Source organism: Homo sapiens, chromosome 10, assembly GCF_000001405.40.
Source record: "Homo sapiens chromosome 10, GRCh38.p14 Primary Assembly".
NCBI lineage: Eukaryota > Metazoa > Chordata > Mammalia > Primates > Hominidae > Homo > Homo sapiens.
The window spans coordinates 104,221,441-104,240,085 of NC_000010.11; the positions used below are offsets into that span (position 1 = coordinate 104,221,441).

Genomic DNA, 18,645 nt, shown 5'->3' on the forward strand with positions numbered 1-18,645 from the left:
ATAAGTGTCCTTATAAAAGAGAGCTAGCTCATCCCTTCTACCATGTGAGGACATGGTGGAAATTATCATCCATGAATCAGGAAGCAGGCCCTCACCAGAAACTGAAGCTGCTGGCACCTTGATCTTGGAATTTCTAGCCTTCAGAATTGTGAGAAACATATTTCTGTTGTTTATAAGCCACCCAGTCTATGGGATTTTGTGACAGCTTACTAAGACAGGGACCAGCTTCTTTTGTTTTCCTGCTGGTTCCATTATTAAGGAGTTATATGAAACCATCTTACATCTTATAATCTGTTTGAAAATTCTCCTTTAACATCCCATCTCTCTGAAGTTTCAGTCTCTTTCTTTAAAATGAGGACCATCATAGATGTCTCATGGGGGTTGCTGCAGGGGGGAGGCAGGGATTAAATGCACTAACCCATTGGAAATCTCAGTGAATGCCTCTCTGATGAAACTGCTGGTGGTGGTATTGCTGGTGTATAGCACATTGTCTTTGCTTATGAACCCCAGATGTCCCAGACCCCACCAGCCTGGGACTATAACCATGAGACCATTCCCCACCTACTTTAGATTCTTTTTCAGAATTGTTATTTTTAATTACACAAATAATATATGAATCCATTCTGCTCTTTTAAAACATTAGAACATAAAGGTAAAGTCTTCTTAGATCAATTTACTTCCAGGAGTCAAATCATGGTACTTGGGCTCCTCCTGGTCTGACTTCCAGAAGTTTCACCTCTTTTGAACTTTTACTAAATTATTTCTGGGAGTCCCCAGGGTCCACGGACTAACTGCTGTCACCAAGTGAGTTGCATCCTCCTCCCTGTTCATCTTCTAGCTCCCTCGTGTTTAGGCCCACTGCTGGCAAAGCTACTTGGTGAAGAGGACTATTGGGCCTCATCACAGGATTAAATCCCACTCACATTTCTATGCAGCACCCGAGGGTGCCATCGGGGTTGCTCCCAAAGCTTCTCATCTTGGGTTTCCACAGCAGAGGCTGGAAGAGTGTCTGTCTCCCAGCTCTGTTCATACTCATTCTTGGGCCCCAGGGCACCTCTGCTGCCGCAGAGCCTCACTGAGAATCTCCTCATGAGAGAGCAGTGTCTGGTCCTCTGCACAGCATCTACCCTGTCCTCCCCTGCCCTCCTCACTCCTGCCCCCTTGTCTCTCCCCTCTGACTCAAATTTCCTAAATAGAAGTGCGCATGAATATTAAGACATGCAAACAAATCTAGGGGAAGGGTTGGGACCGGGAGGAGATACTACCTACCCATAGTCTCAGTCTCACCTCAGCTTATCAAAAATGCCCTCTACAGAAGGCTCAGATATACCTAAAATGTACCTGAGATACATTTTATATCCAGCAGGAAGCAGGAGATACAAATGTATTGAATGAATTAAATCCAGTGAGCAAACTCAAATGCTTATAGGGGCCAGGAAGTTAATGTAAATGAATGAAATGTACTGAGTATAAACACCTCTAGGATAGGGGTTGGCAAGCTCTTTCTATAAAGGACCAGACAGTTAATCTTTTTAGCTTTGCAGACCATATATGGGCTCTATTACAACTCAAGTCTGCCATCATAGAGCAAAAGCAGCCATAGATAATATATAAGCAAATAAACATGTTCCAACAAAACTTTACAAAAACAGGTGGTGGGCCAGATTTGGCCTATGGGCCATCGTTTACCAACCCCTGCTCAAGGTGGTGGGCATGTAGAATGAGCACCCACTTACTAGCCCAACCAGACTGTGACCATGTGGGAATACAGGTCCAGGGTTGCCTGTGTTTGAGAAAGGTTATACAGATAACTTTTTCTCTAAATTTTTCCAATTTTAAAAATATTTTATGGCCAAAAAAAAATACACTGGTGGCCCAGAATTAGCCTAACAATCATCATTTTTGAAACTCTGACTTAAATAAACATAATGTAATAGACACTATTAGGTATGATGCATACTTTTAGTCAATGAATTATTAGAAAAACCATATTTAGGAGACATTGATGTACCCATTTTACAGAGGAAGAAACTAAGGCTCAGCCTTTCTAAGATCACACAGCTAGTAATTTGTGGAGCCAGGATTCAGGTCTAAGTCTGTTACACTAACACATTTGTGCTCATTCCACTTCACTGCTTTTTTAATATTTACAGATTGCTCTTAGTAAGGACAATTGGAGCCTTCTGCTTTTGGAACTATCAGAATTTATGCACTTGTCATCTCTTCCCAGCTGCTTCCTATCCTGTGTATCCAGAGCTGTGAGATAATACATTTCTGTTATTCGAGACACTCAGTTTGTGATACTTTGTTACAGAAGCCCTAGCAAGCTAATACAGTACATCCATCAACAGGTGAATAAAGTATGGTATATCCATACCATGGAATAGAAAGGAATGACTACTGACACATACATGCAGCAACATAAGATAATTTCAAAATAATTATGTTGCATGAAAGAAGCCCGACAAAAGAATATACACTGTGTCACTCCCTGTATATGAACTACCAGAAAATGCAAACTAGAGTGACAGAAACTACATTACTGACAAAGGCTAATGAAGAAGCTCTGAAGGAACACAAGGAAACTTTTGGGGTGATGGATGAATTTATTTATTTATTTACAGATGGAGTCTTGCTCTGTCGCCAAGGCTGGAGTGCAGTGGCGCAATCTCAGCTCACTGCAAGCTCCGCCTCCCGGGTTCACGCCATTCTCCTGCCTCAGCCTCCCGAGTAGCTGAGACTACAGGTACCTGCCACCATACCCAGCTAATTTTTTGTATTTTTAGTAGAGATGGGATTTCACCGTGTTAGCCAGGATGGTCTCGATCTCCTGACCTCGTGATTTGCCCACCTCAGCCTCCCAAAATGCTGGGATTACAGGTGTGAGCCACAGCGCCTGGCCGATGGATGTATTTATTATCTTGATTACGGTGATGGGTTTATACATAAATCAAAACTTATCAAAGTATTTACCTTATATATGAACAGTTCATTATCTGTTAGTTATACCTCAATAAAGCTGTTTTAAAAAAATTTTAGGGCGGTGGCTCATGCCTGTAATCCCAGCACTTTGGGAGGCTAAGGTGGGTGGATCACCTGAGGTCAGGAGTTCAAGACCAGCCTGGCCAAAATGGTGAAACCCCGTCTCTACAAAAATACAAAAAATTAGCTGGTCATGATGGCGGGTACATGTAACCCCAGCTACTCGGGAGGCTGAGGCAGGAGAATTGCTTGAACCTGGGAGATGGAGGTTGCAGTGAGCTGAGATCGTGCCACTGCACTCCAGCCTGGGGGACAGAGTGAGACTCCATCTCAAAAAAAAAAAAAAAAAAAAAAATTTACATAAACTAAATGTGGCTCCCTGAATCTAGGTACTTACATTTTTGTATAAGAAATGTTAGTATGTTATCCTTTAATCATTTCTGGAATATTTTGTACTTCCCCTTAATAAGAAAAATATCCTCTTGAAGGGGCTTATATCATGGATAGAAAAGGGAGTATAGCCTTAAAGTTGGCCACGTGAAATGATCCAGGAAAGACTAGAAATGTGTCTTAACCACAGGATTTCCCATACAGTGGGCAAAAGTGGTATAATGTTCCACTCTCTGAACATATAATTGTTCTAATGTCTCTAACAACAATTACTTTAAACTGAACTCTAATATAGAGACCATCTCAATTTCAATATTAGCAGGAAACATACGAACAACTCCAAGATGCCATTTGTTTTTTTTAAGTGAAACTTTATGTATTTATAAATATATTCTCTATCTGAGAATACATAAAGCATGTTAATGAAAGAGAATGACAATAACTAATTTAGTTCTTATATAGTTTTTGCTCTGACTGCCAAATTTTATGCCTAAACATAGCAACTGTATTAAAACTTGTGATTGGCATTTTTTCCTTCTATATTTCCTTGTTTCAGATTTTTCATGTCTATTTCCTTCGATAAAATCCAGAAGAGTAAGAGGAAAATGTAACCCAGTAAAAGGAATTCCACAGGATGCTGAAACTTACCAAAGGGCCAGTTCAAATTCTGGGAGAGAGGAGTAACTAGCCAGGTAGGTGCCACAGTAACTGAATGAAAGTAAAGTGTAGTCCAGGAGAATGTTGCCTAAAATATAAAATCCATTATCAGGATTTGATTATGTTAAGACCATGTTCAGTTAACTATGGTCTTACAGTTTATTTTCCTTTGCTAATGATTTTCACGTAATTCAAAAGCATTTAACTATTAGAATAAGAAAGATCCTGGCTAATTTCTAAGACCATGAACAGAAAGCTTAGAGCAAAGCTAAGATCCATTTGTAAAATATATTAAAGTGAATTAAGACCATTAGGTTACTGTCTCTAGACTTCAATGCAGAACTGAGCATACCGCACCATGTATGTCCCAGCATGGTCTGAAATGACCCAAGAATAATCTCATAAATATATGAGACATTGTAATTAGAATAGTTATTCAGACATCTTTAAATATCTTGGGAAGTTGTAATAATTCTAGCTTACTTCCTTATTTCTATTATCTTAGGCCATATCTGGCCCTTAGCTTAATATCTGCCAGCTTTTGGAACAGCTATAAAAAGTGACATACTCCTTTGTACCTATAGTTGACAAAAAGCAACATGAATTCCAAAGTCTTAGCAACAACATGTTTTAAAATGCGTATCATGGGGAGGCCAAAACAAGAAGCGCCTGTCTCTGCTTCCCAGTACAGAGTGGTCTGATTTTCCCTCTTCTTCATCTGCTGTTCTTCAGTGGGGTTCCACAGGTGCAAGCTTTGCCCTCATCTCAGTCTGTCTTTGTATGTTTGTGTCTCTATTGCTTGTTCTGTGGATTTTTAATAGCTGTTTTCTGCTTTTTTTCTCATTCTCATTTTAATTGACCATAATATAATCCTAAAATTTTGCTTTTGTCATTTATTGAATATATTTAGCATAGTCTAATCAACAAAGAAAAAATGTATTTATTGAGCATTCACTACAAAAACTAGTTTTTCTGTAGGCAGAGATCTTAATGATTTTTAAATGCTTGCTAAACAGACGTTTCCCCCCACAATTGAAGATGACCAACTTTAGATATTCTTTAAATCTTAGAAAATATGGTATTTGAAGAAAATGCCAAAAAAAAAGAGAGAAAAATATACCCTCTATAATCCTACTACCAAACTTGGTAAATTTCTTTCTAGTCTTTTCTTCTGTGTTTACTTGAAAAAATACATACATATATATTTTCTTTAAATATAACTTTGCTTTTTATAGCTATACTAGCCATAGATTAAATATTATATATGAGGCCGGGCGAGATGGCTCACACCTGAAATCCCAGCACTTTGGGAGGGGAAGGCAGGTGGATCACTGAGGTCAGAAGTTTGAGAGCAGCCTGGCCAACATGGTAAAACCTCGTCTCTACTAAAAATCAAAAATTAGCCGGGTGTGGTGGCAAGCACCTGTAATCCCAGCTACTTGGGAGGCTGAGGCAGGCGAATCGCTTGAACCTGGGAGGCGGAAGTTGCAGTGAGCCAAGACTGCGCCACTGCACTCCAGCCTGGGGGACAGAGCAAGACTCTGTCTCATCATATATATATAATATATGATAATCCATTTTTAAATGGAATTGGATCATAGTGTTGCCTCCTATTGGTTTTTTATTTACGTTATATTGACCATTTTATCATTATCTTAACACTTCTTTAAAAGTGTGATTTTTAATGTTTGCATAATACCCCTTTATAGTATATTTTATTTAACTATATCCATAATACTGGAGATGTAGGTTGCTCCAACCTTGTGCTATTATCATAGTGCTTTTTAAGCTCATTTGCATGTAAATCTTTGACCATATTTCTAACCATTTCCTAAAAATTGAATTCGTCTTGAAGTGAGTATACTGGGTCAAATAGAGTCAATATTTATTTCACAGAAAGACTCTATCAATTTATAGTCCCACCTTCAGCAAATAAGAGTGCTACCAATTTCACTGCATTCTACCTAGCAATTATGATCATAAAAAAGTTGTGACCTTGATAGGCAGAAAAATAGCATCTTGGTTTAAATCACACTTTTTAAAACAAATCTTGAGATGAAACATTTTTTGATGTCTTTGGTTATTTGGAGTTTAGTGATTTGTCTGGGTTAATTTCTTTTCCATTGTTCTAAGAGGCTGTTTGTTTTGTTCTTGTTTCATTAATGCTCTGAAAATATTTGATCATATTTGTTCCAAATATTTTACCTGGTTTATTATTTCCCTTTTAATTTTTCATGGTGTTTTTGATGTTAATCAGTTTAAAACAGATATACAATCAAATATGTCTGTCTTTTCTAAGTTTTTGTTTTGTGTGAAAAGTTCTTCCCCTTCCTGGAATCACTCCTCTATTCTACCATGTTTTCTACTTTTTTTTTTTTTTTTTTTTTTTTTTTTTTGAGACAGAGTCTTGCTATGTTGCCAGGCTGGAGTGCAGTGGCGTGATCTCGGCTCGCTGCAACCTCCGCCTCCCGGGTTCAAGCGATTCTGCATCAGCCTCCTGAGTAGCTGGGATTACAGGCATGCGCCACCATGCCCAACTAACTTTTGTATTTTTAGTAAAGATGGGGTTTCCCCATGTTGGCCAGGATGGTCTTGATCTCCTGACCTCGTGATCCACCTGCCTTGGCCTCCCAAAGTGCTGGGATTACAGGCGTGAGCCACTGTGCCCGGCCCATATTTTCTACTATTTTCAAGTGGATTTGTTATTTATATTTAATGCTTTTTTTCATCTGATATAGACCATGAGTATCTAACTTGATACTTTTGTTAAAATATGCAGTTTTCTTAACCACTGTTGAATAATCTATATTTTTTCTTCTTTCTTCCTCCTCCTCCTTCTCTTCCTCCTTCTTTTTGGTGGTAGCCTCTTTCTTCATTTACTCAGCTTTTATATACTTTAGATTCTGTCCCAAGTCTTCAACTCTCCCACTGATTTGGTGATCCCTGCACCAGTGCCATACTTCTAATTACTATGGCACCATAATATTAAAATGACCCTCTGCCTTGCCATCATTCTCTTTCAAATTATTCTCATTCTCTATGTTTTATTTTCCCAGATGAATTTTGGAATCATTTGAGTACTCCTTGCTGTCTAAAACATAGGATAAACCTACAAATTACTTTCTATGACAAATCTCAGAAATATATTTATAATAACCAGGCTTTCCATCCAGGAATATATTTCTATATATTTAAATATTTTAAATCAATGATTTTTGTAGTTTTCTTCCCCTAGGTCACTCACACTTTTTTTTGAATTATTTCTAAGTATGTATATGTTCTAATTGTATGGGTACTTATTTCAAAACCAGCATCTTACTGAGCATTCTTTTGTTAGTCCTAGCAGACTATCGCATTATCCATCATCCCCTTTCCCATAGCTATATTTTTTTCAGTTTTATATTTTGTTGCATTGGCTAGAACTTCCAGGTTGATATTAAATAATAGTGATAACAGGTCTCTCTGATTAATATTACTGATTAGTATTACTGGGAATTCCTTTAGGGCATCATTATTCAGTAAGACTCCTGGGTATTGGTTTGAACTAACTTTCAATTGGTTCAAACAGAACTACAGCCAAATAACCAACCTGGGGAAATTTTAAAGATAAAGGGTATAGTCCACCTAGATAGTCCCCAACATGTGAATGGGTTATGTTTTGAAAATTGTCTTAAACTGTTGAGAATGCAAATTTCACCACAAACAAAGTATTATAAATTATAGTGAAGTTCCCTGACTTCATCCAAACACTTATTTGACCCTTAAGACTACAGAGCTAAGTCCAGCCTCAAGCATGAGCTTTCTGCCCATGGGGTGTTAAATGAAGGAATCATTAGCTGGTGGCTCCAGCAGACGTGCAGCAGCTCAGTGTGGGTCAGCTGTATCTAAGAAAGAGTCATTAGGCCGGGCACAGTGGCTCACGCCTGTAATCCCAGCACTTTGGGAGGCGGAGGTGGGTGGATCACTTGAGGCCAGGAGTTCGAGACCAGCCTGGCCAACATGGTAAAACCCCATCCTCTGCCAAAAACATAAAAAAAAAAAAAAAAAAGCCGAGCATGGTGGCGCACACCTGTAATCCCAGCTACCTGGGAGGCCAAGGCAGGAGAATCACTTGAACCCAGGAGGTGGAGGCTGCAGTGAGCCAAGATCATGCCACTGCACTCCAGCCTGGGTGATAGAGCCAGACTCTGTTAAAATAAAATAAATAAAATAAACACTAATAATTCAAATGGTAGGCAACATTGAGCACTTGGCATACATACACATACAGCATATTATATATTTTCATCTATCATCATCACCGCAGCCTTCACATTAGACACCATCTTTATCCCTATTTCATGAATGAGGAAATTGAGGCTCAGAGACTTGACTTTAGAAGCTATACAAACATCAATTCACCTGGATTTTCAACAAATATTAGGAAAGAAAAAAAAGTCATTGCTCTGAAAAAGGCAATAGTCTTCTAGCCCAGTGCTTCTCAAAGTTTAATGTGCATATGAATCACCTGGGAATTTTGTTAAAATGCAGATTCTGATTGAGTAGCTCTGATGTGGGAGCCAAGTTTCTGCATTTATAACAAGCTTCCCAGGTAGCACCAATGTTGCTGGTAAACAGACCACACTTTGAACAGCAAGGCTCTAGCTAACATAATTTAAATCCTCAGTGATCAGCTTGATTCCTTCTTTAAAAATGTATATTAAAAAAAAAAATGGGGCCAGGCGTGGTGGCTCATGCCTGTAATCTCAGCACTTTGGGAGGGTGAGGCAGGCGGATCACTAGGTCAGGAGTTGGAGAACAGCCTGACCAACATGGTGAAACCCCATCTCTACTAAAAATACAAAAATTAGCTGGGCGTGGTGGTGCGCACCTGTAATCCCAGCTACTCAGGAGGCTGAGGCAGGAGAATCACTTGAACCTGGGAGGCAGAGATTGCAGTGAGCCAAGATCGCACCACTGCACTCCAGCCTAGGCAACAGGGCAAAACTCCATCTCAAAACAAACACAAAAAACAAACAAAAAAAACCTTTCAAAAAATAAATCTTCACTTATAATAGATTTAGTCAACTCTTTAAACAAAATCCTTCAATTATGGGCAGAGGAAGGGTTCTCTAGAATACCTTTCAATTTGGTCCTTCTGGTCAATCCTGGAAAGCTGTATACGTAGATGAGAGGTTTTAGCTTCCGGTCAGAAAAAGCCACAACTTCACAGGGGATGTTAGTTGCCATGACGCCCACAATTCCATTACTACACTGCAGTACAGTCTTTTTCTTGGTTTCAATATTAATAAATATTACATAATTCCCACAAGGGTAGCAAATGGTGTTGTCGTTGACAAAATGAACATTCTGCTTAGGGAATCCTTGCACCCATCTTTGGGAAAAGATATGTCAACATCAATATAATACATTTCAAATACTTTTTTTTTTTTAACAAAGCAAAGGGTCATCAAAATCTTTGAAACATTTCTATTTTCATGTCCTTTCTGCCCCCAATTTCTAAGATAAAAGAACACACATGCTGGCTGTGAGATCCATTTGAGTCAATGAATTATAGAAATTTAAATGTAGACCTAAAGTTCCGTAGGTCTCCCAGGCCTTCTTCAGATAACTTTTTCAGCAAAGGAAACTCTCTGACCAAACCTGAGAAAGTCTCAGAAGGACTTCTGGGGTCTTCTATACTTGGAAGACAAAAAGTGAAAATAACAGAGAAAAGAGCTTGATCTCAACACAGTGGCATCCTGGGCCATTCTTTTATAATTAGTTTGATTTTTTTAAATAAACTTTAAAAAACAACTTTGCATAGGACAGCCTGCTTTGTGGTTGTTAGCAGAGTAGGAAAATTGCTTATTTACACAGATGAAGAGTATGTGGCCATATTTTAGATTTAAAAATACAGATAAACGTAGAAAATAAAAGGAATGAAGTCGACGTGAATGAAAGGCTAGCACACAAAAAGAACATACTCTCAAGTAAGGAGTGCGTGCTAGGTGTATGCTAGAAAGGAGAGGAGATGAAGGAGATTCTATTTTTATTTAAATATTAAAGGTATGCTTGAAGATGGTGGAAAAGGCAAGTGAAGGACACTGGTTTGGTGAGAAACCTCGAGACATTAGAGTGTCCAGGACTAGCAGGGGATGCTGTATAGAGTGGAGGTGGGGGCTGGGAGGAACACTCTAGAATGTAGGGGAAAAAATGCCACCTATATCTGCGCAGTGCTTGATGCTTTTCAAAGGCTACTATAAATGCAAATAAATCCAAAGCTAGTGGATAGGAGTTAGAAGGAAAGGATTCAGGGACCTAACTTTGGGGAAAATCACCAAAGGTAGCAAGGACGGGATCCGGGCTGTCGCCAGGTGGAGGGGGAGGGGGATGTGATCAGAAGACCCGGATCACTAGCGGGAATCCTGAGCTAGAAGGAAGAGATGAAGGGTGCAGGGGACGTTGCTGGGTAAGAGACGGAGGGTCAGGGTCGCAGAATAAGGAGTGGGAAAGACAACTGGGGACGGGGTCAAGGAACAAGGGGATGGGGAGCGGACAGGGGAGGTCACACGGGGAGGGAGGCTGAGGGAAGGCACTGGGGGCAGAGGGGAAGAGGTCGAAGCTGCGGGGAAAGCCGCCCTAAGGAACCGGAGGGAGAGGAGGGAGGAGGGGACTTGGGGCAGGAGGTTCCGCGAGACCCAGATCGGTCGCGGGGCCGTGAACACCGCACCTCACGGACAAGGACGCGCCGCCGGCGGAGTGGGGGCCTTCGTCGCGCTCCCGGCCTTGCGCCATGGGCAGTGTTTTCCTCAGGCGGGAGCAGGCAGCGCACGCAGCACCCCAGGGCGGGTCGGTTACCTTTCCGCCGCCGCGGGGCTGCGGGCCGCGACGCCGCTGCTGTGTACACCCGTATCCCGGAGACCGTAAGCCCCGCGCCCATTGGCTCTGCGCTTTGGCCCGCTCCCTTCTGAGCCGAGCAGATTGGTGGAAGGTCTGCCGCTCTCGGCCAATGGGTGAGCGGCAAGCCAAGCGAGGGGCGGGCCCCTTGCTGTTCAAAGTGTGGTCTGTTTACCAGCAACATTGGTGCTACCTGGGAAGCTTGTTATAAATGCAGAAACTTGGCTCCCACACCAGATCTACTCAATCAGAATCTGCATTTTAACAAATTTCCCCAGGTCCGGGCCAATAATTGCAAGTAAGACTCATGCCTACAATCTCCGCGCTTTCGAAGGTCAGAGCGGGAGGATCGCTTGAGGCTAGGAGTTGAAGACCAGCCTGGAAGACATAGCGAAACCTGCCGCGCCCGTGCCGCATCTCTACAAAAAAATTTAAAAAGCAGCCGGGCATGGTGGTGCACGCCTGTAGTCCCAGCTACTTGGGAGACTGAAGTGGGAGGATCGCTTGAGCCCAGGAGTTCAAGGCTGCGGTGAGCTGGGATGACGCCACAGCACTCCAGCCTGGGCGACAGAGCGAGACCTGTCTCTAAATAAATAATTATTTTTAAAAATCAATAAATTTCTAAACAGACTTTCATTTAGAGTGCTGACTGTGCCAAACATTGTTGCAACGTCTTCACATCTCCCATCAGCCCCATTTTACAGATAAGTAACGTGAGGAAAAGAGAAGCACATAATTTGTCCATGGCTACAAAGTTGAGTGGGACTTTATTTATTTATATTATTTATTTATTTATTTTTGAGATAGGGTCTCACTCCGTTGCCCAGGCTGGAGGGCAGTGGCTTGATCTTGGCTCACTGCAACCTCCATCTCCTGGGTTCAAGCGATTCTCCTGCCTCAGCCTCCCAAGTAGCTGAGATTACAGGCACGTGCTACCATGCCCAGCTAATTTTTTGTATTTTTAGTAGAGACGGGTTTTCACCATGATGACCAGGCTGGTTTCAAATTCTTGACCTCAAGTGATTCGCCCGCCTTGGCCTCCCAGAGTGCTGCGATTACAGGCGTGAGCCACCTTGCCCAGCCCTGAGTGGGACTTAAACGCAGGTCTAGCTAATTTAGAGCTCCAAGCCCTTAAGTACCATATAACACTTTGAAATGTACCCTCTTGCTTCCTCAGGGAAGCAGACAGCTCTGGAAGTAACCTGATTGAATGGTCGGCAGCTTGTCATTCCTTCTTCTCTCCCATACCTTCCCTTAGACTCCCTCCCTTACCCTTCTTCCTTTCCCTTCAGTCGTCTTCCCTTCTCTACCCTTCCCTTCCTTTCTTTAGGTCTTTCCTTCCTGTCTTGCTTTCTTCTCTCCATTTCTTTCACAAATATTTACAGAGCATCCCGCATGCATTCATGCATGTGCTAGTCACTTGGAAAAAATAGAAAAACAAATAAAGTTTCTTCCTTCTTGGAACTTAGAGACTGGTGGGATCCAGGGAGTTGGGCTAGATATCCACATGGTCTCAGATGGTCTGTGTAAGTTGTGAAAGGATTTATGAAAGTGATTTTATGCAAGAAATGTTGTACAATTCACGGATTGTTAGGCCTCCTAAATGCTTCATACAATGCCCTATGACTCTTACTGTACAACTTGCCTGCTTAAGTAAGGGTGAGCCCTGTGGACATGTGGAGTTAGCTATGCCCTCTAGCTATGCTAGAGAGTCAGCTGTTATCTGCACTTCTGCCTGTTGTGTCCTAGGCTAGGCTCCACACCTAGTACACAATTAAAATCTCTTACTTACCAAGGTTTTCACCAAAAATAAAAGTTGCAAAAAGTTAACATTATAACATGTAATTAAAACTACTAAAGAAACAGTTTTACATGCAAGGTGTGTAAAGAAAGTAAAATGTGTTTTTGGTGAAAGATTATAAGAAGTAATGGGAATGTGGATTTTTCTCTGCCTACATTTAAGTGTTAAAGGATTGCTTTAAGTAAAAAAAAAAACTAAAGGTTTAAATAAGTTGTGGAAGGTTTATAAAAATTAATTGTAAGAGATTCTGTATGTGAACATACTGGCTAAAGTTACAGGGGTATTATTCAGTTTTTCGATAAATTAAACATTGGAATAAAAGCACAACAGGTTTTTCTTAGAGTTGATCTGCTCTTTCACACACACACACACACACACACAATTGTAAAGGGTTATACGAGGTTTATAAGACTCTTACCTTATGGTTAACATTAAAATTGGGTAAATATGTCTATAAGGTTTTATTAAAAATTGGGTTTAACATTAATAGCACATTAATGTAAAGGTAAAATTTGGCTTATTTGCTATAAAAATCATATAGGAAGCATTGCCAAATATGAAATGGTTTTTTGCTTTTTTTGGACTATATTTGCATAAATGTGTTATTGGTATATGTTACAAAGTTATGAGAAACTCTTATAATTCTAATATGACTTAGTGTAGATTATTAATAATTATAATTGTTATGTAAAATTTTGTGTGCCACATAGGTAACCAAGTTTCCTTATCAATTGTGGCTTTAATAGTGGCTATCCTAAAACTTTTTATCATCCACAATTGTTTTCTTGTTCTAATCCTCTTTAGAAGGTGGTTTATAATCAACTGTAGAACTCCAGCAGGTGTTCCCAAATGCAGGTTTCCAATAACTTTGGAAATTGTAACATTAGAATAGAGGAAACAACTTTCAGAACCCTCATGTAGAGCTGGAATGTTCATGAATATCAGAGTCAAGGAAACTTTTCTTTTGAGCTATTTACAGCTTTTAGCAATTGAGTATACTTCTGTGAACAAAATTTGGAGTATATTTGTTTCTCTCTACCTGATTTTTCCAAAATTTGGAAACTATTTGTGAGTATTCTTAATTTATGGCAATATAGTTATTTGCATACATGCAATAAGGATCTGTTTTCTTTTGTAGCAGAACACAATTGGATAAATTGGTTATTTCACCACGGCTTTAACTGGAATGGTGTGCTTTCCTTTAAGGAATCAAACTTGACTTGTAAAGCCAATAAAAGCCACTTGGAGAATTGGCCTCAGATCTTGTCTGCAACTGTCCCTGTAAAGGTAAGTAAAGAATGACCTGTGGTAAGTAAAGAATGTCACTTTCTGGCAGGTCCAGGAGTCCTAAGTTATCTTGGGACCTCAAGAGAACAGGAATTTACTCAACTCATAGATATTTGAGGATACAAACACATGGCCGAGCTTGGCTTTACAAAGTCTTGTCTAAGATTACTTCTATAGAGCAGAGTTCCATCAAAGCTAATTTAAAAAGAGCCTATGTGAAAAATAATTATTTTTGTTGCACTTTATACAAATAATCAGGCCAAGTATAACAAAGCAAATCAGCCTTACCATGATTTGTCTTTAGTAAAAATGAGAAACTGGAGAGAGAAATATTATGTTTCAAGTACTGTGGTATACTTGTTATTAAATTCTAGTCTCATTAGTTGTTTTTAAGTTCGTTTCTGCAATTTAGGCTAACCCTGCTTATTCCTGTGAACCAACCAATGATCTCTGACTGCTGCTCAGAATAAACAAAAGGGATGGGTAATGTAAAAATCTGGATCAGTATTCTAATTCCGGGCACATCACATTCAGCTAATAACCCCATATCAGCTTAGTTCCAACAGCTGCCCAGTTCATGAAAAGCCTTCTAATTTAGCTTACTTGGAACAACTTTACTTATTTTGCTCTACCCTTGTGGAATATATTGCTGTTATACTCTTTGTGTAGGAATACAGGACAAGCTTACTAAATGTTTTCTTAAACACGTATTAATCTTCCAGATATCACCTTTTGTCAAAACTCAACAGTTATGAATGGACCTTACCATACTGATGTTCTCTGACTGAACTCCTCTCTACCCTGAATGCAAGAGACCCTCATAGTTAGGCAGGAATATCATCGCCCCTATTCAGCCTGAAAAAGTTACAAAAGATGGATCTTTGTCCCTCTGCAACCCTTAGGATTAAGGGTTCTCTTATAAAAGACAAGGGGGAAATGTCAGAGGCATGTGAACAAGAGCAACTCCATCTTAAATAGGAGCTGGGCAAAACGAGGCTGAAACCTACTGGGCTGCATTTCCAGATGGTTAGGCATTCTAAGTCACAGGATGAAATAGGAGGTCAGCACAAAATACAGGTCATAAAGACCTTGCTGATAAAATAATTTGCAGTAAAGGAGCCAGCCAAAACCCACCAAAACCAAAATGGCGACGAGAGTGACCTCTGGTCATCCTCACTGCTACACTCTCACCAGCTTCATGACAGTTTACAAATGCCATGGCAACATCAGGAAGTTACCCTAGATGGTCTAAAAAGGGGAGGCATGAGTAATCCACTCCTTGTTTAGTATATCATCTTTTATTCCTTTACTTTCTTAATAAACTTGCTTTCACTTTGCACTGCGGAGTCACCCTGAATTCGTTCTTGCGTGAGATCCAAGAACCCTCTCTTGGGGTCTGGATCAGGACCCCTTTCCTATAACAACATCATTATGCAAATAGAATTATAGATTGAAATAAGAAGAAAAGAAACATGATAGTATGAATGCTTATGTTAGGATCCTCGCCTAGTGACAAAGATTCTCTGCCTGGTCAAACTTTCGTCAGGCTACTGAGCCTTTCCCTAGGCTTGTCTGCGCCCTTCCTTGTAAGATCCGGTTTTAGCAAAGAACACTGCTAAGTCAGTTTGGCAACACTGCTAAGTCAGTCAGTCAGTGTCCTCAGTGTCTGATCACCCTCCATATCTGATCAGGTTCCTCATTCTCTACCGTCCCCCAGGTGATGTCTGATTACCTTGGCCTATGTGAACCCAAAATATCTGAGACAGGTCTCAATCAATTTAGAAAGTTTATTTTGCTAAGATTAAGAACATGCCCATGACACAGCCTCAGGAGGTCCTGACATGTGCCCATGGTGGTCGGGGCACAGCTTGGTTGTGTACATTTTAGGGAGACATGAGACATCCTACACAATATGTTTAAGATGTACATTGGTTCACTCAGGTCATAGGGAGATAAGAGATAAAAGATTGCATTCCTTTGAGTCTCTGATTAGCTTTTCACTGAATACAACAATTTACATATGAGAGGAGGGTAGAGGAATAGTCACTTATGCCTAAGTCTGGCTTAGTGAAACAACAGGGCAGAGAAAGCCATCAGATATACAGTTGTCTCTTGTGACCAGAGGGACAACTTTGAGTTTTGTCTGTCCTTTGTCCACAAGGAATTTCCTTGTGGGAAAATTATGAGGGAGGTATGTAGCTTTTTTTATATTTGTAGCTATCTTATGTGGGAATAAAATGGGAGGCAGATTTGCCTGACACAGTTCCCAGCTTGACTTTCCCTTTGGCTTAGTGATTTGAGGGCCCCAAGATTTATTTTCCTTTCATACCTGTCTTCAGCAAGAAGCCCATTAGGTCAATTTAGCCAGAATCCTCCATCAGCCCTGATGGTTTCTTATAGTAATTTTCCATCCACTGACCCCCACCCTGCTCCTTGGCTATAAATTCCCACTTGCCCATGCTATATTTAGAGTTGAGCTCTGTACTCAAACTTCCATTGTCATGGTTCCTATACCTTTCATGATGGTCCTGAGTAAAGGTGGCCTTACCGTGCTTTAGCAAGTACCGTTGAATAATTCGTTCTTTAACACGAGCTGAATGGGCAGTGTTAGGGATGGTCTCTGTGTGCATGCACCGCTTTCACTGAGGGTCAAACCATGAGGAGTGATTGCTGGATGGGGGTGGGATGGGCTGAGGATAATTTTTATAAAGACACTAAGGCAGGGCCACAGATTGGATGAACTGGGAAGGGCAGTGTGATTGGTGCAGAGGGAGATAAGAAGAAAATACTTAAGATGAGGCTAGTGAAGGAACCAATGGCCAGGTGAAGGACAAGTTGAAAGTTCTGGCCTTTATCCTAAGAGCCATGAAAAGACTATTGGGGCTTAGAGCCCAGGAGTTCAAGACCAGCCTAGGTAACATAGTGAGACTTCATTTCTACTAAAAATACAAAAATTAGATGGGCATGGTGGCATGTGCATATAGTCCCAGCTGTTTGGGAGGCTGAGGCAGGAGGATCAGTTGAGCCTTGGTAGGTCGAGGCTGCAGTAATTCATGATCTCACCACTGCACTCCAGCCTGGGTGACAGAGTGAGACCCTATCTCAAAAAAATAAATAAATAAGTAAATAAAAGTATAATGCTTTGGTATGCTGAATACTTTGAATTAAAGAAGACTGGAAGGCCTCAGAAGCAAAGTTTCTCTCCGACCTTTTTCTGTTTTCCTGTCTCCTGCCCCTGTTTCTCCCCCAAAGCAAGTCATAGACACCAGAATTCCTCTTCCCCAAGGTGGGTCATAGAAACTATTAATATATATATTGTATATATTATAGAACCCCCTCCCTCAAAGCAAGGCATAAAAACCTGGAAATATTACTCTAACCTTCCCCTGCCTTTATTTGTAGGAACTGGCCATAAAGAAATTCTCTAGCCTACCTGTCTAATGTAGATCATAAGCATCTTATTCCAGAGGGGTCCTGCTCTGTACCCAGCAGGAAGGAATCCTACTCGGAGAGGCCACAAAGAATGTAAATAGATGGGCCTTGCTGGGTTCCCCTTTCAGTCTGTTACCATTAGATCATACCCTTTTTGTCCAATCACATTTCTACACAGCTGTCCGTTCTTCATGGAGCCTAAACATAAAAATACTTTTCCCTGGGTCTTTGAGTCTTTATTTCTGAAGGCTCCTGTGTCGTGTAAAACTTTGATTTAACAAATTTGTCATGCTTTTCTCTGGTTAGTCTGTCTTTTGTTATAGGAGTGTCGGCTATAACCCTTATGATAGATGAGGAAAGGTATCACACCTTCTCCTCCCCTATAAGACATTAAGGGGTTTTCAGCAGGGGAGTGACAGGATCAGGTCTATGCTTTTAAAAGATCATTTGGCTGCAGGATTATCAATTGGTTGGGGTGGGAGAACAGGGAGAATTGAAATAGGCAGATCAGTCGGGAGTCTATTCCATTCTCCTAACAAGTGGAGCCAATGCAGGATTTCTCAAATTCAGCACTATCGGTATTCTGGGCTAGATTTGGCGATTGTTGGTAGAGTCCTGTGCATTGCAGGGTGTTTAGCAATGTAGCACCTCTGCAGTTTTGACAACCAAAAATGTCTATGCACATTGTCAAATGTCCCCTGGATAGCACAATCACTCCCCAGTTGAAAACCACTGGTAAGTCAGTGTATTAAAAAGTTATTTTAAAAGGTAAAAATCTATAGGATTTGGTGATGGATTGATAAAAAGAGGAAAGGGAGAAAGGAGAGTCAAGGATGTTCCTAGATTTCTAATTACCACAGAGATGGTGGTGCTCTTCACTGAGACGGGGTGAGGAGGAAATGGAGACACGTGTTTCTATGCAGAAATGTGAGTGCCAGACACACACCATGCTTAGTTCTTAAAAACTCATAAAACTGACTGACAAAATCTCAAGTTGCAGAGTCCCAGGGAGAAGTGGCAAGGAGGAAAAGTCAAACTTTCTCTTGCCACCCCTGATGACTTTGCTTATTTGTGTTTTGACCAAGCCCTCTCCACCCCACCCTCATACCTTTAACCACAACTAAGAAAGAAAGGCCACTCATCCTTCTGCAACCAGGCCCGGTGTGGGGGTCAGGGAATCTCCTGAATATCAACTATGGGTATCCCCAGAAACCCAG

At 40.7% G+C, this 18,645-nt stretch overlaps 1 protein-coding gene across 1 annotated transcript in view, besides 1 other annotated feature; it reads right to left on the reverse strand.

Annotated features, from left to right (window-relative positions):
• The window catches only part of CFAP43 (cilia and flagella associated protein 43), a 102,477-nt gene extending 91,553 nt beyond the window's left edge, over positions 1 to 10,924 (reverse strand). Inside the window, exons 1-3 of the mRNA NM_025145.7 lie at positions 10,742 to 10,924; positions 9,150 to 9,403; positions 4,021 to 4,117 (exon numbers count right to left, since the gene is read on the reverse strand). Coding sequence (NP_079421.5) covers positions 4,021 to 4,117; positions 9,150 to 9,403; positions 10,742 to 10,806 — 416 coding nt within the window. The 5' untranslated portion in view covers positions 10,807 to 10,924. The remainder of the gene's footprint in view (positions 1 to 4,020; positions 4,118 to 9,149; positions 9,404 to 10,741) is intronic.
• Positions 10,751 to 11,045: an enhancer, noted in NCBI's record as "tiled region #1977; HepG2 Activating DNase matched - State 1:Tss, and K562 Activating non-DNase unmatched - State 1:Tss". NCBI's record gives its function as "activates a minimal TATA promoter and a strong SV40 promoter by Sharpr-MPRA in HepG2 and K562 cells {active_cell/tissue: HepG2 | K562}" and the evidence as "EXISTENCE:reporter gene assay evidence [ECO:0000049][PMID:27701403]".